At 38.5% G+C, this 24,583-nt stretch overlaps 1 long non-coding RNA gene across 1 annotated transcript in view, besides 1 other annotated feature; it reads right to left on the bottom strand.

Moving 5' to 3' along the window:
- The window catches only part of LOC105372926 (uncharacterized), a 198,874-nt gene that overhangs the window by 21,887 nt on the left and 152,404 nt on the right, over nt 1–24,583 (bottom strand). The window lies entirely within an intron of this gene.
- Nucleotides 2,852–4,051: an enhancer, noted in NCBI's record as "P300/CBP strongly-dependent group 1 enhancer chr1:219883505-219884704 (GRCh37/hg19 assembly coordinates)". NCBI's record gives its function as "activates an origin of replication core promoter dependent on BRD2, BRD4, P300/CBP, MED14 and CDK7 cofactors, with strong dependence on P300/CBP, by STARR-seq in HCT116 cells {active_cell/tissue: HCT116}" and the evidence as "EXISTENCE:reporter gene assay evidence [ECO:0000049][PMID:35650434]".

Here is a 24,583-nt window from a genome sequence, read left to right on the forward strand (position 1 = left end):
AGTTCTGGGATACAAGTTCAGAACATACAGTTTTGTTGCATATATACACAAGTGCATTGGTGGTTTGCTGCACCCATCAACCCGTCATCTACATTAGGTATTTTTCCTAATGCTATCCCTCCCCTAGCCCCCCACCCTCTGACAGACGCTGGTGTGTGATGGTCCCCTCCCTGTGTCCATGTGTTCTCATTGTTCAACTCCCACTTATGAGTGAGAACATGCCGTGTTTGGTTTTCTGTTCCTGTGTTAGTTTGCTGAGAATGATGGTTTCCAGCTTCATCCATGTCTCTGCAAAGGATACGAACTCATCCTTTGTTATGGCTGCACAGTATTCCATGGTGTATATGTGCCACATTTTCTTTATCCAGTCTATCGTTGATGGACATTTGGGCTGGTTCCAAGTCTTTTGCTATTGTGAACAGTGCTGCAATAAACATGCATGTGCATGTGTCTTTATAGTAGAATTTATAGATTTATAATCCTTTGGGTATATACCCAGTAATGGGATTGCTGGGTCAGGTGGTATTTCTGATTCTAGACCTTTGAGGAATTGCTACACTGTCTTCCACAGTGGTTGAACTAATTTACACTCCCACCAACAGTGTAAAAGTGTTCCTATTTCTCCACATCCTTTCCAGCACCTGTTGTTTCCTGACTTTTTAATGATCGACATTCTAACTGGTGTGAGATGGCATCTCATTGTGGTTTTGATTTGCATTTCTCTAATGACCAGTGATGATGAGCATTTTTTATGTGTCTGTTGGCTGCATAAATGTCTTCTTTTGAGAAGTGTCTGTTCATACCCTTTGCCCACTTTTTGATGGGGTTGTTTTTTTTTCTTTTAAATTTGTTTAAGTTGACTGCCAGTATTTGTTTAACAATAAAGTACTTTTTAAATTGAAGTGTGTATATTTTCAGACATAATGCTATTGCACATTTAATAGACTAAAATGTAGCATAAACATAACTTTTATATTCACTTTTAAATGTGTGTGAATCACTTTTTTGCAATATTTGTTTGACTGTGGTTGTCTAAAATAGAAACCTGCAATATCTTTGAGGTACATTTATATTCCAATCCAACATACATACTTTGAGAAGAGCGAACTTTCTAAATACAAATCTGAGCATGTCCCTCCCCTGTTCCAAACCCTTTATGTGCCTACAAATATGGAAATAGCTCACACCTCAGTTTCTTTGCTCTGAGCCTTCCCTTTGTTCTTTCCCCACCCCATGTTTTCGCTTAGCAGTGATCACCAATTTTTTTATGTCATGGCATGCATTTTAAAATAATACTTATACAGCAGGCCAGAATATAAAGAGGAGCTCCAAGAGCCCAAAGCTGAGGAATTCAATAATTTAACACACCTCTAATCCATGTAGCTTGTCACCGAGATTGGGGAACTTTGGCTTAGGAAATATTAGTTCAACATTTGAGTCTTGCTGGAGAGTGGCTTTCTCTATAAAATTTTTTCTTCACTTTCGTGACCCCAAAACTGCCTGGAAAACTTTTTAGTAATACTCTGAATACTTAATTTGTTTACATTCCTGCCTTTTTCTATGAGACTGAAAATCCCTTTGGAACAGAAAACATAGATTACTCACCTACGAATTCTCAGAATACAGTGATGGTGCCCAGCCGAACTGATAAAGAGCTAAAAAAAAGGAAGAGAAAGATCCAAGAATCTTTATTCCAAGTATCCTGGATGGTTGTTGGGTTAATTTCCCTTGGTCATCATTTTTATATTTGTAGACATTTTTCTAAAACTAAAGCGGTTTCTTTCTGTTCCCCCAAGCCTTTTTTCCTAGAGGTAAGCTTTCAAACTACTACTATGACTAAGCAAAGTGCTGGCATTTCAAGTGATAAACATCCCAAAAAGAAAAAAAAAAATGGCTACTCTGTGAAATCGACTTCTAAGTGCCCAATAGACTATTGAGCTTTTTGCTGCCAGAAAATTTTCTGTCAACTGATGCTTCCAGAATCAGATGGTTCTCATCAGCAAGAAGAGAGAGATTCCAGAAGGTGAAGATTTTATAAATGCATTGAAAAATGTCAACGTTTTTGTTTCAAGTTATGATTGAAATGAGCATAACCTCATATTTTAAAACACTAGGAATGCTCTTGAAGTGGTGAAAAGACAAAAAGGAAAGCTGAGGCTGCCAGAACAATTTTTCGATTTCTCAGATGAACTTGACAACAAAATGAGTATGGCCAGAAGTCCATCCTCACCCGGAAAGCACTCATGTGCTCACTGAGAAGCCAGTGAACATCATAGCTGATAGCCAGTTCCAAGGAAGCTCATTCAAGCACCTCTATCCAAGAAAGGGTGGCTCCAAGCAACACTGCCCAATTGCAGTAATTTCCTTCAGACTTTACACGTGACTATCAACTTATCGCTACTGACCTAAAAGCCAAACTACGCTTTTTTGTGATAGTTATTGATCTTGCTTTTTTCCCAAACTTAGCTTCCCTGGTGAATAAACACTCCAGTACTCTTCACTGTAAAGTGTAGATGATACAATGCTTACCTCTCAGGGTTGTTGGAATAGTGAGAAGAGCCACAAAATATCATTGATCTATACATTCTAGTGCTAAACATCAACTGAAATAGAAGATGATGCTCTTCTTTCTTTCAGTAGGGGCACAGAAGAATTCACTGGGAAACATGGGAGAGTAACCCAGCTCTGGGGCTTCATCTAAAGGACTAGGGGAAAAAGGGCTCCTATGAAGATGTGGTTGGTGGCTTTGTCCTGTGCCCTCTTAGATAAGCTGGACTACATCTCTCAGAATTTCCTTCCCTGCATGGGGCGAGGCTAGGATTGACAACAAGAGAAATGTTCATAAGTTTTGGAAAGCAGAACGAAGTAGCAGCCATTGCACACTGAAGGTATGTCAAGGGCATGAGGCATGGTTGCAGCTCCTGGATGTTGTGACTGATCTGTGGGCTCATTTTGTTGACACGGGACCCTCCAGGCTTGTAGCTACTCTCATTCCCACCAGACAGCTCCCTTCAGCTTCCTCAAGTCCAAGCCAGTTTGTCCTGGAGGGGTTTAATTTAACCTCATGGGTTCCAGGTGGGTTTTGCTCTTTCCCACTTAACATCTGGCTTTCCTTCCTGACAGCCCATCCTATCCATCCACAGCAACTTCAAGCCCACACCAGGTGCAGAGACCACAGCATCCCATAGAATTCTTTATCAGATCCCACAGTTATGGAGGATCCGTATCATACTCCCCTTATTTCAGATCATTCACTGTGGCTCTGCTTCTCTGATCGAGCCAAACTAATAAAGTAGAAATCCTTCCCACCCTACTTTTCCCCCCAACTTTCTTAGGGAAATGAAAGGAAGCTTCCTAAGGAAATGCACTGTGCCATCCTCTGTCACAGATAGAAAAAGTTTCCGTCATAGTCATGTGACTCCGAAATGCACAATCACCAGCACCTCATCCACTTTCATTCCCAATAGCCGGGGATCAGGAGTAACATTTATATCATCATAAAAGAAATACTTGTAAGGCAAATTCTTGATCTTCAGTCTGAGTCATCCAATGTACTCAGATCCAAAGGAGGCAATTCTCAATTCCTTTAACACAGATGGGACCAGTGAGAGGGGATCCTAGTCATCCTACAAACTTCTGGAGTTACCACATGAAAGAACTTCTCTACTTTAAAATACTTACTCTAGCATCCTGATCCACATCCTCAAAGACCTTTTCAGAAGCAGGAAACAAAAGTAAATGGCCACCCACATACTATGGAGTTGGTACATTTGCTAAGTTGCCCAGGCAACAGAACTAATGACTCAAAACACTGCGGTCAAAACTTTCCAGAGATAGTGATCTTTACTGCAGCAGAAAATACTTTTTCACCTGTAAAATACAACTTCTGTGTTTCAAACTTTCTTTCTTTTTTTTTTTTTTTGAGACGGAGTCTCACTTTGTAGCCCAGGCTGGAGTGCTGTGGCGCGATCTCGGCTCACTGCAAGCTCCGCCTCCTGGGTTCACGCCATTCTCCTGCCTCAGCCTTCCGAGTAGCTGGGACTACAGGCGCCCGCCACCAAGCCCGGCTAATTTTTTGTATTTTTAGTAGAGACGGGGTTTCACTGTGTTAGCCAAGATGGTCTCGATCTGCTGACCTCGTGATCTGTCCGCCTCGGCCTCCCAAAGTGCTGGGATTACAGGCGTGAGCCACCGTGCCCAGCCTCAAACTTTCTTTAGAGTAACACAGCTGAACAATAATTGTGCGATCTCAAGAAAGTCTGGGTGTGTTGAGAACACTTTAAACCTAAGCACCTTGCTATGGTTTGAATCATGGTGTCCCCACCAAAATTCATGTGGAAACTGAATCCCCAGTACAATCTGATTAAGAAGTGTGGCCTTTAGGAGTGGATGTAAATAAACAAAAAGAGGTCCAGAAAGGAGGCAGGAAGTTTAATTGTGGTATCTTGGAGGAAGGCAGGAGAAATGGCCCCTGGAGAGGACAGCTTAGTGTGTTTGTTTATCCCAGCCCAGGCCTGGAGGACAGGTCAGCCCTATCCTCAAGGAGGCTGCAGACAGAAGCCAAAAACACTGTTTCCAGTGGAATTTATCTCTCAGGATCAATCAGGATTACTCCAGGACCCAAGGGACCAAATCCATCCAGCTGGGGAGTGAGGATATATTTACAGGAAAACACAGTGTTGCTTTGGGCACTGGAGATGACCCAGGAGGAACAACAGTGGGTACTTATGGGCTCCACCAGGGCAGTTTCCAGGCCTGGAAGCAGCTCTCTCCCTAGAGCCCCTGTAACAGTGGCCACCACATATTTCCCACTAGTAGCCAATGGGCAGGGGATATCGGCAGGAAGTAAAATAAAGAAAACTGCACGTGAGCCCATAGACAACACGTAGGGACTCCTAAAGTCTCCATAGTTGCTGGAGATATAATTTTAATATAATTCCACAAGTGCCCACAGGCTAGAGGGGTGGAGGATACCCAGGTTCTATTCCATTAGATTAGAGTGAAATGAATGAGGAAAATACTTATCCCAAAAGCAAATGCAATATGTAGAAACTACAGAGTAAAAGTTCAAACTAACCTTTCCTTACTTGATATTTACACTTACCAATTTTTTAATATATTCATTTTTTTAAATTGTCTTCAAATAATGTATGCCTTTGCCACTTGACAATAAGTTGGCTCTCCATTCATTGTTTGCAGGATCGCATCCACTAACAAAGAGGTGGGCCCCTGTTTTTCAAGCCAGAATATTTAATTTTGTTGATGCTTCCTCCTCAGTGTTTCTTAGAAAAACAATGAATTTTGTCCCATGCTGTTTGTAGAAGAGAAAAACACAGAAGGCAAGATTTTGCGAATGCCATCTGTGCTATTAACAAGTCACATTATCTCAGACTTTCACAGTGCATGGCAGTGTCCCAGGCACAACATTTGGTCTGTGTCATGTACAAATGCCTGAAGTTTCAGCTGCATTATTCCTCACCTATGAAACTCAGGGGACTGCCCAGATGTTCTTAAAGGATTCCTTCGGCTTCAATATTGCATCTCAGAATTTCCAACATGATATAACTTACGAGGAACTCCTTCCACAGAAATAAACCTTCCAAAACCCTCGCAAGACATTTTTGTAAACTACTGAGTGGTATATTATTTTTAAAAAATCACTTTAAATAAAGACTCACTTTTATTTTAAACTGGAATAATATTGACTGTGTTATAAAAGCCCTATTATCATTAATAATAGCCATAATATATGAAAAGTTCCACCTAAGTTCCATTACATTAATTTTGTAATATAAAACAGTTTACAAAAAAGGTTACAATGGCGTATGTACAGTTTGGAGACCATAGAATATATATTATATAATTTTATACATGAAAATATATATGTAGGTGCAAAAGTTATAAATGTATATGTAAATGTAGACTGAAATTTAACTAAATATTATGACAATAAAATAGACTTCTTCATAACTTTTGCATTTTAGTTCTAAACTAATTGAAAAAAAGGCTTTAGATTTTTACTTGTAAACCCTCTCCACAAATAATGTATTGCTGATATATCATCTTTGTTCCCAGTAAAGTGGATAAAATCATCATAACAGTTCCTCTGTAAACATTAGTTAAGAACTGAAAACATAAAAGAATTTCCATTAAATAATTGAAAGTTAAACAGTTTATCATCTTGATCTTTAGTGAAGATTATCTTGAGATTAACCTACACAATTATACCCACGTTTCAGCATCAATGTTCATTATGATCTCATATTTAACCAACAATTTATGATGGGTACAAATTTTAAAATATGTGAGCAAGAATAAAAATTATTTGTAATTATACTACCACAAGGGAAAGAGGTGTTTGGCTGAGAAATAAATTAGCTGAGTGATAAAATCACAAGCAGCGTCTTAACAGGCTCGCTCACATGTTCACTAGGTCCATCTCAGCATCCTTCATACTGACTTGTTTTGAAGAGGAAAAAAAAAAATAATGGCTTATGTATTGACTTTAAAACGGGGCATTCTTGTCTTTAATAATGTGATCCCACCAAGTACTTTGCAAACCCCCAAATTGACAGCCACAGATTAGAAAATGTCATAATGTTGATAATATTGAACCATTTCCTAAAAGGTTCTGCTGTAACTGAGTTCTGTTTGTCAAGACTGCCAGAGCTTAGGAAAAGACACAGCTTCCCCACTGTTGTCCTGGCACTGGCCATCTCACGAGGCACACAATCATTAGAACATCTAAACAGATGGCCTTTCGTCCAAGGCAGGCCCTATAGAAGACCCTTTCTTGTTAATACATTCTCTCTTTGTGAGGATTGTTTCTGTGGCTTGGCAAATTGTTTGCCATCTTCTTCATCCATTCCTCATTCTGAATTATCTATGTGACTTTATCTGGGACGTGGTTCGCAGGCTTCCCTTGATCTTGCTAGCCCTCACTTCTAGTTTTACATCAGCTGCTGTCCCTGACTCAGCACTCTAAATAAAAGCAATTGTTTGCTCCTTTTTCAGTATGTATTGCTTTTGGCTCTGAGACAATAGAGCTGAAACTAGACCTCAGGGCTATAGGAGAAAAGTGTTAAGTTCTAAGAGTATGGGATAACATCCATGGGAATAGGCAAGAGAAAACACATCAAACTGCTTTTCTAGACACACTGACATCTCATGTGAATGAAAGAAAAAAATAGTTTGTGAATTCTCTTAATTAGGCCTATTTTTTTTCTGTATCTAAATTGTGTTTCTTTCTAAGATCAAAAAGGACCAAAAAAGACTCCTGAGGCTGTTTTCTTGTCATTTAAGTTTCAAAAACAGTAAAGTACTTTAATTTCGCTTAATTGCCATAAATTCAACACAGCCTAAAGAAAAAGAGTTTATAGTGCCAGTTTTTGTTTCTTAGTCAAAAAATCATTTTTACATATCCCTTCTATATCATTCCTAATTGTATTTTGTATTTCCCAATTCACTCTTGGTAACCTTCTTTGCCCTTCACATTGGATCAGATCAACAGATTTTGCTGACGGAATAAAAGTCACGTAATCACATAAAAAGAAAACCTCAGGTTGAGCTCCATGAGGTCATTCACAGATGTCACCACTAGCAATAGGAGAAGAGGTTGTCTTGCAACTGTAAGAGTAGCCAGGGGAGTCTATGCCTGCTAAGAAGGCAAGAGGCAAGGGCTACTGGTAAGAGTGGCCTCTTCCTCTCAGGAAGTGACTTCAAACTATAGATACGGCAAAAGAAAGTGGTCCAGATCAGCAGTTTCTACCTAATATGCCAAGCATTTCCAAGGGGAGAGCCTCAGAAAACTCAATTGAAGTCTCGCATGGAGTGGACAGCCAAAGCCTTGGCATTGCAAGATATCAGAAGAAACAACCCATCAACCGGAGAAACATGTTGCCACCCTCCTGAGACTTTACATTTCACAAGACCTAACAGGCCATCCTAACTCCAATCAGGGGTTGCAGGGATAAGAAGGCTTTCATTCCCTGGGAGAGTTCTGGGACCAAGGACTCTTCTCTGACACCACCATTGTCTTTTGCTACTGGAGTCACCATTACAGCGTTCGCTTGCCTATGTATAGCTTATTACTTCAGGAAAATTATTTACAAAAAATAAAAGGCGTAAAATATAAGAAGGAAGTAGAGGGGAATAAGAAACTAAATACACCCAGTGCTACCCTCTATGAGAGTATAAAGGAAGAGGTAAATAAACCTCAACATGGAAAAACCTAAAGTCTTTTTTATTCTTGACAATTTGGCTTGAGAAAATTGAAATGCCCTTATAAACCAAAATTAACCCAATACTCTGGCTCTGACAGTGACATTAGCAGTGGTGTGATGCAGCAGCTGGCTCACTCAGGCTGTCTAAGAACCACTTGTTAAAGTGTCAAGAGATTTGCGAGCTCATGTTAAACACAGCCATTTTAAAAATTAAATTATATAAGCTTAAAATGAAATGCATTATATCAAAATGGAAAGATAATACTCAAAATTCTCACTACTTATTTTACTATATTTTACAATCATCTATGCTATCGATGTTATAGACACGCATTTTATCTGTATGATGAAAATACTATAAAATTGTGTGCTGCTGTACTCCTCTTCCCAGTTCCTCTTTCAGTAACATCATGTTAGTAACTTGAAATCAGACATGGTATGAGTATTAATACTATGGAAATCAACAAAAGCTAAAAACCAGGGTTTTATTTATCTTTTTGATTGCCTGGGCTTAAGAAAGAGATGGATAAAATGTTAATAATGAAGATAAACTTAAAAATGTATATATCTGTAGCCATGCATTCTAAATAACACAAAATATCTGTTTAAAAATTTTTCCTCAATTTGAAAATCATTATTTGGCTCAGCAAAGAAGTCACTCATCATTAAATAAGTGACATTCCTACATAGTCCTGAAGCTGAAAGAGATTTTTACTTAATAAATGTAATTTGTATAAGGATGAGAAATAGTTTAATTATAAGACACATAACAAATGTAGTGATGATAGATTGTACTAGGAAAAGAGTTAGCAGATTGGAAAGAAATTTCATTTCTCAGGTAGCAGTTGCAATCGTAAGTTGGCTAAAGACACAAGAGTTCACCAAAAATCAGCAAAAGCATTCTTTAAGAATCAATTGGATATATGGAATTTACAATAAAATGTATTGTATATGTTATTATTTATAAATGTGTGCTACACATCTGTATATCTAATATTTATAATAAAGCATATAGATACATGTATGTATATAACACACACCTACATATACAGTCTGTATATATAGCATATATATAAACATACATATATATGTGTGTTTGTGTGTGTGTGTGTGTGTGTGTGTGTATACGCCATAGTTTGAATGTGTCCCGCAAAAAGCATGTGTTGGAAACTTAATTTCCAATGCAACAGTGTTAAGAAGTGGGACCTTTAAGAGATGACTAAGCCATGAGGGTTCTGCCTTCACTAATTGCTTAATGTTGTTATCATGAGAGTGGGTTTGTTACTGTGGGAGTGGTTTCCTTATAAAAGGACAAGTTTGGGCCCTTGTTGCTCTCTCTCTCTCTCTTGCTCTGTCTTGCCCTACTGCCTTCTGTCATGGGATGACACAGCAAGAAGGTCCTCACCAGATGCTAGAGCCAGGATGTTGGACATCCCAGACTCCAGAACTATGAGCCAATAAATTTTCATTCATTATAAATTACCTAGTCTCAGGTATTCTGTTATAGCAGCATGAAATGAACTAAGACTATACGTATAGGTATATAGATATAGATACAAATATATAGATATCTTTTTAGTGTGATTAATATTTACCAGCACACCATTAGACATTAGACACAGGTATCCTACCATATTCAAAATTTATTTAAATAATTATGGAAATGTATATAAAGCAAAAGGATAAAAACAATGACAATAAAACCAAAATGAAGGGATAATCATGGTAGCATAGAAAGGGAAGACATGGATAAAGTTAACATACTAACACACATGCCCTGAGGTCTTGGATCACTGCTAAGGAGTAAACTGAGAATACAACTCTACATGTAGAAAATTTAGTGATTAAAAAAGGAGATATATAAACTAACTTTGTCAGACTGGGTCGCAAAAACTTCTTGGCATTAAATATCTCTTGCTCACCACTGAACATCACTGGAGAAAGTAAAGAGCCATTCTCTGAATAGCCTGAAGCACAAGCGCTCAGGAACCCTTGGTGCTTCTATCATTTCTCTGGGTGATGCTTCTTGCTCTATTAGGTGAACAGATTAGTATTTCCGTGTTTCACTATACCACATTGAAGTGGTCCTTATGAAAGCCTAAGGCTTGATGGCTGAGCTATTAAGGTCTCTACTGAACTTCTAGTTTGTTTAATGAGTTCTTCACAGGGCACTCCAGAACGTTCCCGTCACTTCAGATAGTCCTGTCACCTAATTATCACTCAAAAAGTTTGTTTGCTTAAGCAACCTTCTGGAACATAACAGTCTTCCCTTTCTTCCACTACTAATTAAATTTTACCAATCACTCAAGGCCCAACAGAAGTCCCAGCTGTTCTATTATCCGACTCTATATCAGTTGATCGGAAAGCTTATCTATTTTCCATGAACAAATCTAAACATCTTCCTGGATACTTCCCACCCAGAATTACTTGAGATTGGAGGCCTATTGGCAATAGGTACTCCTGGCTAACTGACTAAATGATGTAAATGCTTTATAGGCATAAAAAGGAAATCCGAGAACCAAGGCAAAATGTCGACTTTTAAATCGCAACCAGATCAACAAGGCAACTTTTAAAATCCTGACATACTTACGTTGCACAAATATTACAGTCAAAGCACTGGGAACATTACATGGAATACACTTCCATTTAGGCATACTTTCTTTAAAAAATACATTGTATCTGAAAATAAAAACCTACTTCTCTCTTTTAGGAAAAGAACTGTATTAAGAAACATAGTTAGATGACTTCTCCTTTCAGGAACTTTGAGTAGATGTACTTTCCCTGTTTCTCCCACTAAGTACAACTAAAAGACCTGTACCATATACGTAAAATAAACATAAGAAAAAATGGAGGAGAGAAGGCAGACCACCTAGGGACTTCATGATGTGAGGAAACACAGTGGTGAGTTACCTGGTTTTCTTTTTAACCTCCTGTATACCAGACTTGGAGCTGTAAGAAGCTGGTAACCCAGAAATGAAAACAGGTACAGACAAAAAGAGCTCCAACAAATCCTCCACCCTCTAGCCAAAGGATCAAGAAAGAGAAAGCCCAGCAAAAAAAAAAAAAAAAAAAAATTTAGACAATAATCGTATTACTCCAGCCAAACACCACAGGAAAAATGGTGGCCCCACCATGTCTGTGCCAGAAAAGGTCAAGTGGAGAGCCCAGATTTCCACCCTTATGAGGCTATGGTGAAATACCCAATACTCTGCTAAGGTAACATTAAAGAAAGCCAAGTATGGAGACAGCATTTACATCTCTTCCAGCCAGTTACAGGGTCCCTTCCAATGGTGTCAGTGGGGATTATGTGGGGAGCTGGACCTCCCCGCCCAGCCAGCAATAACAAGGAACTTCCCTACTTTAGATGTCAACAAAGGCCAAATGGGAATCTGTACTTCTACCTCCACCTGACAATAATGAGGTAACACTCCCCACCAATTATGGCAGTGTGCTACAGAGAAAGCCAATTAAAACTGAAGGTTTGAGTAATATCTAGTCTCACAACATAACACAAAACTATCCAGATCTCAGTTAAAAAAAAAAAATCACTCACCACACCAAGAACCAGGAAAATCTCAAACTGAGTTTAATAAAAGACAATCAATAAATGCCAAAACTGACATGGTAGAGATGCTAGACTTTTCTGACAAAGATTTTAAAGCAGCCATGATGAAAGTGCTACAATGATCATTTACGAAGATGTTTGAAAAAAATGAAAAAGTAAAATTAGCCAAATCTATAAAAGTATCAGCAAAGCAATAGAAGACATAATGAAGAACCAAATGGAAATTTTAGAATTCCAGAATACAATAAGCAAAATAAAAACTCAATAGATGAACTCAATAACAGCACAGAAGAAACAGAGGAAAGAATCTTTGAGCTAGAAGGTAGACCAATGGAAATTATTCAATCTTAACAACAGAGAAAATAGAATTTTTAAAGAAATAAATAGAGCCTTGGGGGCCTGTGAGGCTGTAACAAAAGATCTAATCTGTCATTGAAGTCCTAAAAAGAAAAGAGAAAGAGGGCAGGTCTAAAGAAAGTACTCTAAGAAATAATGGCCAAAAACTTCCCTAATTTGGGAAGAGACATAAACCTATGGGTTCTTGGAAGGCCAAACAGAATAAATCCAACCAAATCAATATCAAAACACATCATAATTAAACTTCCAAATATAAAGACAAAGAAGAAAATCTTGAACATAGTCAGAGAAAAACTACACCTGAGCAATAGGGGGAAAACAATTCTAAGAAAATAGATTTTTGATTAGAAAGCATGGAGACTAGAAAAAAGTGGCACAATGTTTTTTAAATGTTGAAAGAAAATAACTGTTAATACCCAGTGAAAATATCCTTCAGGAATGAAGGAGGAATAATGACATTCTCAGATAAAGTAAAACCAAGAGAAACTATTGCCAGCAGATATACCCTAAAAGGAAGGCTAACCAAAGTTTTTAAACAGAAAATAAACAATAAAATAAAGAATTTTGGAATATAAGAAGGAATTAAGAAATGAGGCATATAAAAATATGAGTGAGTTCATTCAGCTTTTCTTCTGCTCTTGACTTTTCTAAATTACATTTGACTGTTGAAGCAATAATTATAACACTATCTTATGTTATTCTAAATGTATATAAAGAAAATTCTTTATATAATTAAGTTATAAAGAGAAGAGGGTAAAGGGATGTAAAAGAGGTAAAGTCTCTGTACTTCACTTGAAATGGTAAACTAATGGCACTATTAGACTCTGATAAGTAATGTATATATAATGTAATACCCAGAGAAACCATTTGAATATTTATACAAAATGATACACTTAAGATCACTATAGATAAATCAAAATGAGATTCTAAAAAATATGTTCTAGTAATTCACAGGAAGTCAAGGAAAAAAGATTATAGAAAAGCAAAAAATAAAGTGAACATAATTGTGAGACCTGAAACTATGAAAATGCTAGAAGAAAACCTGGCCATTGGCCTAGGCAAATAATTTATGACTAAGATCTGAAAAACAAATGCAACAAAAACAAAAATAGGCAAACGGGACTTGAACTAAAAAGCTTCTGCACAGCAAAATAAATTATCAACAGAGCGAACAAACAACCTTCAGAATGAGAGAAAATATTTGCAAACTATACATCTGACAAAGGACTAATATTCAGAATCTACAAGGAACTCAAATGTCTCAACAACAACAAAAAATACCAATAATCTCATTAAAAAGTAGGCAAAGGACATGAACAGACATTTTTCAAAAGAAGATATACAAATGGCCAACAAGCATATGAAAAGATGTTCAACATCACTAATCATCAGAGAAATGCAAATTAAAACCACAATGAGATACCATCTTTCACCAATCAGAATGGCTCTTATTAAAACGTCAAAAAATAACAGATGTTGGTGAGGATGTGGAGAAAAGGGAATGCTTATACACTGTTGGTGGGAAGGTAAATTGATACACCCTCTATAAAAAACAATATTGAGATTTCTCAAAGAACTAAAAACAGAACTAATATTCAACCCAACAATCCTCCTGTGAATATCTACCCAAAGAGAAGGGTAGATATTCCATCATATCAAAAAGATACTGGCACTCATATGTTTATCTCGGCATTATACATGACGGAACTGGAAGCCATTATCCGAAGTGAAATAACTCAGAAACAGAAAGTTAAATGCCATATGTTCTCATTTATAGGTGGGAGCTAAGTAATGTATACACATGGGCATGGAGAGTGGAATAATAGACACTGGAGACTTGGAGGTGTGGGAGGGTGGGAGAAGGCTGAAGGATGAAAAATGATGTAATGGGTACAATGTACACTGTTTTGTTGATGGCTGCACTAAAAGCCCAGACTTCATCATTATGCAATATATCCATGTAACAAAACTGCACTTGTACCCCCTAAATCTATAAAGATAATAAATCAATAAAGTGAACAAACAGAAAACAAAAAATAAAAAGGCATATTTTAACCCTAATATATCGATAGTTACATCAAATATAAATTGGTCTATATATGCCAATTAAAAATAAAAGACAGTCATTGTCAAAGTGGATTAAAGAACTTAACCCAACTATGTGCCATCTACAAAAAAAAATACCACAAATATGTGACATAGGCAGGTTGAAAGTAAAAGGGTGGAAAAAGATATAATACTTCCTTCTTATCCATAGGTTATACATTCCAACAGTGGATGCCTGAAACCATGGATAGTACTGAAGCCCATATATACTATGTTTTTTCCTATACATACGTACATACCTATGATAAAGTTTAATTTATAAATTAGGCACAATAAGAAATTAACAATATTAACTAATAATGCAATAGAGCAATCGTAACAATATACTGTAGTAAAAGTTGTGTGTGTGTGTTCTCTCTCTCTCTTTCTCAAAATATCTTAATGTTTTCAGGCCATGGTTGCTCATGAATAACAACTCATGGATAAAGAGAGATTACTGTACATCATTCAAACATTAATCAAAGCAGGAGTGACTACATTAATATCAGATAGTAGATTTCCAAACAAAGAAAATTACCATAGACAGAGCAGGATATTATATATTAGAAAAGGGTCAGTGAACCAAGAAGGTACAGCAATCTTAAATGTGCATGCAACAAACAATGAAGCTGGAAAATATGGGATGCGAAAACTGATGGAATTGAAAGGAGAAAAAGACAAGTTCACATAAAGTTACAGTTGAAAGTTTCAGCACCATCTGCTCAACAATTGACAGAAAATCAGCAAAACTACATAAGAATTCAACAAAACCATCTATTATGGATGGAATTGTGTTTCCCAAAAATTTGTATTTTGAAGGCTTAACCTCCAGAACCTTAGAATGTGACTATATTTGGATATTGGTTTTTTAAAGAGTTAATTGAAAAGAGGCTGTTAAGGTGGGCCTTAATCCAATCTGATTGGTGTCCTTATAAGGAGAGACTAGGATATATAGAGTGAGACACACACCAGGGATGTGCGTGCACACAAAACAGGCCATGTGAGGACCGTAGTATTAAGATATATAGGAAACATGTGTGTGTGTGTGTGTGTGTGTGTGTGTGTGTGTGTGGCATTATGATATATAGGAAACATATATAAGTATGTAGGCTTTTTATGTGTTTTCATCCATGGGTCCTGGCTCATAACTCCCATATCCCTTGTTACTGTCTTTTGTTGTAATGTTGGGTGTGTTAGGCTTCAGAGGCAGGCCTCAGGAAATGGAACTTCTTGCCTGCCTTCCTTTCACCTGTCCCAATGTAGGACTGGAATCTTCCCCTACCTTTCTGATTGTGGGTCTTAAGACCCTCCCCTGTGTGGGTCCCACCTTATACCCTGGGAGAAAGAAGGCTTCCATAAAAACCCAAGAGGCCTGGGTTGAGAAAACTTCTGGATAGCTGAACATATGGCGGTTCCTGGAGGGTAGCATACCCATGGAGGACAGGGAAGCTCCGTGACCTTTCCACCATATGTCACCCTATGCATCTCTTCATCTGTATCCTTTGTAATATCCTTTGTAATAAACTAGTAAACAAAAGTGTTTCCCTGAGTTGTGAGCCACTTCAGCAAATTAATTAAACTCAGAGTGGGTCATGAGAACCCCAACTTGAAGCCAATTGGCCAGAACTTCTGGAGGCCCAGACTTGCAACTGGTATCTGTGGGTATGGGTGGCAGTCTTGGGGACTGAGACCCCAATGTGTGGAATCTGACACTATCTCTGAGTAGGTTGTGTCAGGACTGAATGGGTGTCCACCGCTTGGTGTGTGGAGAAAAACCCACACACATCTGGTTTCAGAAGTCTTCTTCTATTTTGATGAATGCTGTGGTGTGAGAGTAGAGAAAAAACACATTTGGAGAGGGTTTTTCCCAATCCAGGACACAGAAATGAGGCAGCCACCTGCAAGCCAAAGAAAGAGGCATCAAGAGACACCAAACATGCCAGCACTTTGATCTTGGATTTCCAGCATCCAGAACTGTGAGAAAATAAACATCTGTTGTTTAAGCCACCTAGTCTGTGGTATTCTGTTATGGCAGACCAAGCAGACGAATGTACCATCAACCAACAAAATTTAACATTTATAAGACAATCCATCCAACAACAGAAGAATTCACATTTTTTAAGCATACAAGACCATATTTGGGGTTATTAAAAAAACAAATTTAAAAGATTTAAAATTATACAGTGTGTCCTCTGACCATAGTGGAATCAAGCTAGAAATCAACAAATAAAGAAGAAAATCTCCTAGCACTTGGAAAGTAAACAACATACTTCTAAATAATCCATGGGTCAAAAGGAGGTCTTAGTAAGAAAGGACCAAAGCAATGAATAAACAGCTAAGATTTGACAGGAGTGTTCAAGGGAGAGCACTGGAGTACAGCAGGGGAGTGCAGATGCACCTGTGGCAACTAGAAATCCAGGAGGACAGTGTGGAGGCACCTGACCTCTACAGCCCCATCTCCCCTGCTGGGATCAGATCTGCCAAGAGTCAGGAGGGACATCCAGTTACAGAGAAAAGGTAATCAAAAAATCTCCACCAGCCTCCACTGCCACCAAACTTCATGCCTACAGTCCTTACAATGGATGAACCAACAGTCCTTACACTCACTGAGTCCAGTTTGGAGAGCTACCAGGAATTCATGTGGCTGCATTGTCCTGGATTAGGAGCACAAGGTGTACATTTCCATCCCCCAACTCCTGTGAGCTAAGCTGCTGTAGTACAGCACCATCTTGGGAAAAGATGGTGCTGTACTACGGCAGCTTACACACACCTCTGGAGTGTACCCTGCTCTGGGGAACCAGTAGTCATTGCACCTCTCCAGCTCTAAGGATTTACCTTCATTGTGCCAAGCCCACACAGGTGGCTGAATACTGCAACCTTAGCTGTGCAGAACTTGGGCCCAGGATTGGCTATCACTCTAGTTCTGAACAGCAGGAAAATCAACCCCCACCACCTGCACTTCCAGGCGAAGGAACAGTTTGTCAGCACTGCCCAGGAAATCCATTTGTGAGCCAGCCCAATTGCTGCGCCCTCCCACAAGCAGGAGAGGCCCTAGACCGTCCAAGCAGATGATATGCTCCTGGGCCAGTGGAGTAGCTACATACCCATGCTCAGGACCTAAGAAATAGCCCCACAGCACCCCCTGCAGACACATCCCTGGCCTTTCCAATGGCCCCGAAACCCCAGTAAGGGCCTGAGAAACAGCCCCACAGCTCATCCCTGACAGACATGCCTCCAGGCCAACCAACCAACCAAGAGCCCCCACCTTGGACTTGAATAACAGCCTGGAGAGGTGCGGTGGCTCACGCCTGTAATCCCAGCACTTTGAGAGGCCAAGGGGAGCAGACCACGAGGTCAAGAGATCAAGACATCCTGGCCAACATGGTGAAGCCCTGTCTCTACTAAAAATACAAAAATTAGCTGGGTGTGGTGGTGCGCACCTGTAATCCCAGCTACTTGGGGAGCCAAGGCAGGAAAATCACTTGAACCGAGGAGGCAGAGTTTGCAGTGAGCTGAGTTTGCGCCACTGCACTCTAGCCTAGGTGACAGAGGGAGACTCTGTCTCAAAAAAATAAATAAATAAAAAAATAAGAAAAACAGCCCATGGGCCACCCATGGCAGACACACCTCAGATCAGCTGAGCAGTCCTTTGCCTGCATCCCAGGCCCAAGAATAGCCCCATGGGCCACCCCAGCAGAAACAAACCCAGACCAGTGAAGAAGTCATGTGACCATGTCCTGGGCCTGAGAAATAGTCTTGTAAGCCACTCCTGGCAAACACGTTTCCAGGCCAACTAAGCAGCCATGCAGCTGTGTCCTGGGACTGATAAACAGGCCAGTGGTTCAAACCCAATAGACACACTCACAGGCCAGCTGAACAGCCATGCAACTATATAACAGGCCTGAGGAAAAGCCCTGCAGGCTCCCCCTGAGCAGGCATCCCCAAGGCAGTTGCTCATAGCCAGAGTAACAACCCTATGTCCCCAACTACAGTCAGCTAGACTCCAAGTTGGCTACCCCATGATGTGCACATATGTGCCCCCAATCTGAGAAACAGCTCAGCAAGCCTACTCCTGGCAAAGCTAAACCACTATCACCACATACTCTTCCAGCCTAGGCCACTAAGAAACTCCCAAATGCCACTAGTGTGGATTACAGCTGAAGAAACTACACAGACACTACAAAACTATGTCCACCTAAAACCAAAGCCAACATATACCAATCAAACTGACAATGCAAGCCTCATTCATAGGAATAAGGTTTTCCCTATGAAACCTACACCATAAAGTTGGAAGAGGCAACTTTCCCACCAGATGCATAGAAATCCATGTATGAATGCATCAACCATAAAAAAGCAAGAAAACATGTCACCTCCAAAGGAAGACAGTAATTCTCCAGTAACAGATCCCAATCATAAGGAAATACATAAAATGCCAAAAAAAATTTGAAAGAATAATCTTACAGAAATTCAGTGAGATACAAGTGAATATATATAAATAATTCCACAAAATCAGGAAAACAAATGATTATTTGAATAAGAAATTTAACAAAGAGATAGTTAACATTGAAAAGAACCAAACAGAAATCCTAGAGATGAGGAATTCAATAAATAAAATTAAAAATACAATCTAGAGCTTCAAAGGCACAGTAACCAAGCAGAAAAAAAGAATTTCTGAACTTGAAGATGGGTCTTGTGAAATAACATGAGAAGAGAAAGAAAAGAAAAGAAAAGAAGAAAGGAAGGAAGGAAGGAAGAAAGGCAACAAGATATATGATATACCATTAAGCAAACAACTATTTGTATTATCAGTGTTCCAGAAGGAGTAAAGAAGACAAAGGTGAGGAAAATATAATTATTAAAATAATAGCAGAAAATTTCCCAAGTCTTGGGAGAGAGATGGACATCCATGTCTGTGTAGCTCAAAGAATCCCCCCAACAAAGTAGATTTAACCCAAATTGTTTTTCTCTGGGGTACATTATAGTCAAATTGTCAAAAGGCAAAGACAAAGAAAACATTCTAAAAGCAGGAAGAGAAAAGCATCAAGTCACATACAAGGCAATCCTCATTAGACTAACAACAAATATCTCAGCAGAAATCTTACAGGCCAGGAGACAATGGGATGTTATATTCAAAGTCCTGAAGGAAAACAACAAAAAAACTGTCAACCAAGAATATTATACCCAGCAAAGCAATTCTTCAGAAATGAAGGTAAATAAAATCTTTCATAGACAAGCAAAAACTGAAGGAATTAATCACCACCAGACAGGCCTTAAAAAAAAAATGTTCAAGGGATTCTTACATCTGAAGTGAAAAGATAAAAACTACCATCATGAAAACATGCAAAACCATAAAGCTCACTGGTAGAGCCTATATCAAAGGAGAAAGACAAAGGAACCAAACCTTATTACTACAGAAAACTATACAACTGCAAAAAAATAAATAAAAGACACTAAGGAACAAAGAACACGCAAAGCAGCCAGAAAATAGTAAAATTGACCTCACCTCTCAATAATGACCATGAATATAAATGGATTAAATTCTTCATTTAAAAGATACAGACTGACTGAGTGGATTAAAAACAACACCCAACCATATTCTGCCTACAAGAGACTCACCTCACCCATAAAGACACAAATAGGCAGAAAGTGAAGGGACAGAAAGAGATATTGCATGTGAATGGAAACCACAAGCAAGTAGGAAAAGCTATTCTTTTTGTTATTTTTATTTACTTATTTTTTATTATACTTTAACTTCTAGGGTACATGTGCACAACGTGCAGATTTGTTACATAGGTATACATGTGCCATGTTGGTTTGCTCCATCCATCAACTCGTCATTTACATTAGGTATTTCTCCTAATGCTATCCTTCCCCCAGTCTCCCACTCCCTGACAGGCCCCAGTGTGTGATGTTCCCCACCCTGTGTCCATGTGTTCTCATTTTTCAACTCCCACCTATGAGTGAGAACATGCAATGTTCGGTTTTCTGTCCTTGTGATAGTTTGCTTAGAATGATGGTTTCCAGCTTCATCCATGTCCCTGCAAAGGACATGAACTTATCCTTTTTTATGGCTGCATAGTATTCCATGGTGTATATGTGCCACATTTTCTTTATCCAGTCTATCACTGGTGGACATTTGGGTTGGTTCCAAGTCTTTGCTATCGTGAATAGTACCACAATAAACATATGTGTGCATGTGTCTCTACAGCAGCATGATTTATAATCCTTTGGGTATATACCCAGTAATGGGATGGCTGGGTCAAATGGTATTTCTAGTTCTAGATCCTTGAGGAATCGCCACACTGTCTTCCACAATGGTTGAACTAATTTACACTCCCACAAACAGTGTAAAAGTGTTCCTATTTCTCCACATCCTGTCCAGCATCTGTTGTTTCCTTTTTCATGATCACCATTCTAACTGGCATGACATAGTATTTCATTGTGGTTTTGATTTGCATTTCTCTAATGACCAGTGATGATGAGCATTTTTGCATATGTCTGTTGGCTGCATAAATGTCTTCTTTTGGGAAGTGTCTGTTCATATCCTTTGCCCAATTTTTGATGAGGTTGTTTGTTTTTTTCTTGTAAATTTGTTTAACGTTTTTGTAGATTCTGGATATTAGCCCTTTGTCAGATCAGTAGATTGCAAAAATTTTCTCCCATTCTGTAGGTTGCCTGTTCACTCTGATGATAGTTTCTTTTGCTGTGCAGAAGATCTTTAGTTTAATTAGATTGCATTTGTCTATTTTGGCTTTTGTTGCCATTGCTTTTGGTGTTTCAGTCATGAAGTCTTTGCCCATGCCTATGTCCTGAATGGTATTGCCCAGGTTTTCTTCTAAGGTTTTTACAGTGTTATTCTTACATTTAAGTCTTTAATCCATCTTGAGTTAATTTTTGTATAAGGTGTAAGGAAGGGATCCAGTTTCAGCTTTCTACATATGCCTAGCCAGTTTCCCAGAACCATTTATTAAATAGGGAATCCTTTCCCCATTGCTTGTTTTTCTCAGGTTTCTCAAAGATCAGATAGTTGTAGATGTGTGACATTATTTCTGAGGCCTCTGTTCTGTTCCATTGGTCTATATCTCTGTTTTGGTACCAGTACCATGCTGTTTTGGTTACTGTAGCCTTGTAGTATAGTTTGAAGTCAGGTAGTGTGATGCCTCCAGCTTTGTTCTTTTGGCTTAGGATTGTCTTGGCAATGCAGGCTCTTTTTGATTCCATATGAACTTTAAAGTAGTTTTTTCCAATTCTGTGAAGAAAGTCAGTGGTCACTTGATGGGGATAGCATTGAATTATAAATTACTTTGGGCAGTATGGCCATTTTCATGATATTGATTCTTCCTATCCATGAGCATGGAATGTTCTTCCATTTATTTGTGTCCTCTTTTATTTCATTGAGCAGTGGTTTGTAGTTCTTCTTGAAGGGGTCCGTCACATCCCTTGTAAGTTGGATTCCTGGGTATTTTATTCTCTTTAAAGCAATTGAGGATGGGAGTTCACTCATGATTTGGCTCTCTGTTTGTCTATTATTGGTGTATAGGAATGCTTGTGATTTTTGCACATGATTTTGTATCCTGAGACTTTGCTGAAGTTGCTTATCAGCTTAAGGCGATTTTGGGCTAAGACAATGGGATTTTTTAAATATACAATCATGTCATCTGCAAACAGAGACAATTTGACTTCCTCCTTTCCTAATTGAATATCCTTTATTTCTTTCTCTTGCCTGATTGCCCTAGCCAGAACTTCCAACACTATGTTGAATAGGAGTGGTGAGAGAGGGCATCCTGGTCTTGTGCCGGTTTTCAAAGGAAATGCTTCCAGTTTTTGCCCATTCAGTATGATATTGGGCACATACTGGGTTTGTCATAAATAGCTCTTATTATTTTGGGATACGTTCCATCAATACCTAGTTTATTGAGAGTTTTTAGCATGAAGAGCTGTTAAATTTTGTCAAAGGCCTTTTCTGCATCTATTGAGATAATCATGTGGTTTTTGTCATTGGTTCTGTTTATGTGATGGATTACGTTTATTGATTTGCATATGTTGAACCAGCCTTGTATCCCAGGGATGAAGCGGACTTGACCATGGTGGATAGGCTTTTTGATGTGCTGCTGGATTCAGTTTGCCAGTATTTTATTGAGGATTTTCGTATAGATGTTCATCAGGGATATTGGCCTAAAATTCTCTTTTTTTGTTGTGTCTCTGCCAGGCTTTGTTATCAGGATGATGCTAGCCTCATAAAATGAGTTAGGGAGGATTCCCTCTTTTCCTATTCATTGAAATAGTTTCAGAAGGAATGGTACCAGCTCCTCTTTGTACCTCTGGTAGAATTCAGCTGTGAATCCGTCTGGTCCTGGACTTTTTTTGGTTTGTAGGCTATTAATTATTGCCTCAATTTCAGAAACTTTTTATGTTTAAATAATATTAGGGAGCCAAAATGATAGGGCAAAGATAATATAATTTTGGATTAAGAAGACATAGTGTCAAAGTAAGATGCTTTTAGTTTGAGGTTTTTTTGTTTGTTTGTTTGTTTGTTTAAGAAGTATAGTGAAAGTTCTTCCTTTACACCAGTGATTCTCAAACCACAACATGTACTGTGTGTATGCATCACAATCATGGGGAGCAATTTTTAAAACACAAACTGCTGGACCCAGACCCAAAAAGTTTCTGATTCAGTATGTCTCATGTTGGAAGGCAGCCTGAGAACTGACATTTCTAGCAAGTTCCCAGGTGATGCTAATGCTACTTGTCCAGGAATCACACTTTGAGAACCACTGCTTTACTGCTTAGTAGCCCTGTGACCATAAGTACACCACTTAATCATAAGTACACCACTTAATCTAAGTTTCAGCCCCGCTGGTGAAATTCATATGGCAATATCTACCCAAACTGTCAGAGGCATTCGAACCTGAGCAACTCCATCTTGAATAGAGACTGGGTAAAATAAGGCTGAGACCTACTGGGCTGTATTCCCAGTAGGTTAGGGCATTCTAAGTCACAGGATGAGATAGGAGGTTGGCACAAGATACAGGTAACAAAGACGTAGGTAATAAAACAGCATGTGGTAAAGAAGCTGACCAAAACCCACCAAAACAAAGTTGATGACAACAGTGACCTCTGGTCATCCTCACTGCTCATTACACGCTAATTAAAATGCATTAGCGTGCTAAAAGACACTACCACCCGCACCATGACAGTTTACAAGTGCCATGGTAACGTCAAGAAATTACCCTATATGATCTAAAAAGGGGAGGAACCCTCAGTTCCAGGAATTGCCCACCCTTTTCCAAGAAACTCATGAATAATCCACCCCTTGTTTAGCATATAATCAAGAAATAACTATATGTGTCCTTAGTTGAGCAGCCCATGACACTGCTCTGCCTATGGCATAGCCATTCTTTATTCCTTTACTTTCTTAGTAAACTTGCTTTCACTTTACTGTATGGACTCACCCCAACTTCTTTTTTGCATGAGATCCAAGAACCCTCTCTTGAAGTCTGAATCGGGACCCCTTTCTGATAACAAAACTATACAAAACAGTACTTTGTAAGAATCAAAATAAGAAAATGTATGTGAAAACATTTTGTAAATTAGAATGCATTATATAAATACATTCTATTATTCAAAACTATTTTTATAATGCATATTATATGCTGGCACTATGTTGTGAAATAAGAACAAATCAATCATTGGAGCTTATAGTCTGGTATGGAAGATGAACATTAAACAGATCATTATTTAATTATCAATGTAAACAATGTTATTTGTCAATAATGAATATGTTTGAGAAAAGATTAACATTTTGAAACTGAAAGCAATATAGTAAAAATATATGACTACAAAAATTAAATCAAGTAAATGACAAATAATGAGGCCATAGAAAGTTTAAAGATAAAGCCTTATCAACCCATTGTCTATACTTGAGGGTACTGGATTCCTGCTATGGAAATTAGTTAAGAAAATAATCCCAAACCCTACTAAATTACTGTCAAGCAAGTCGAGTATGTTTTGTAGTATTTAGAGTGTATAAGGTCCAGCAATCAGATTCAGTATAAAAGGGCAATTGAATAGGGGAAATATATTCAATGTTCTTTCCAAGCACCTTCGGGAAGTGGTCCTAACCTTTCCCTTCTAGCTTTCAACAACACTTTGTGTTTTGCAAGTTACTAATCAGAGCATACTGCCTTTTATTAAATCTGACTGGTAATAAAATAGACGTTCTTCTTAATCAAGCCCACACTGTGGCTTAAATCACCTTTAGACCAAAATTTATTCTCCTGGGTGGGAGGCAAGCTCATCAGAAGGATCTCAAGGAGGATTATATCTGTGGGGGAGGATTTCAAAGCTTTCCCAA

Source organism: Homo sapiens, chromosome 1, assembly GCF_000001405.40.
Source record: "Homo sapiens chromosome 1, GRCh38.p14 Primary Assembly".
NCBI classification, from domain to species: Eukaryota; Metazoa; Chordata; class Mammalia; order Primates; family Hominidae; genus Homo; species Homo sapiens.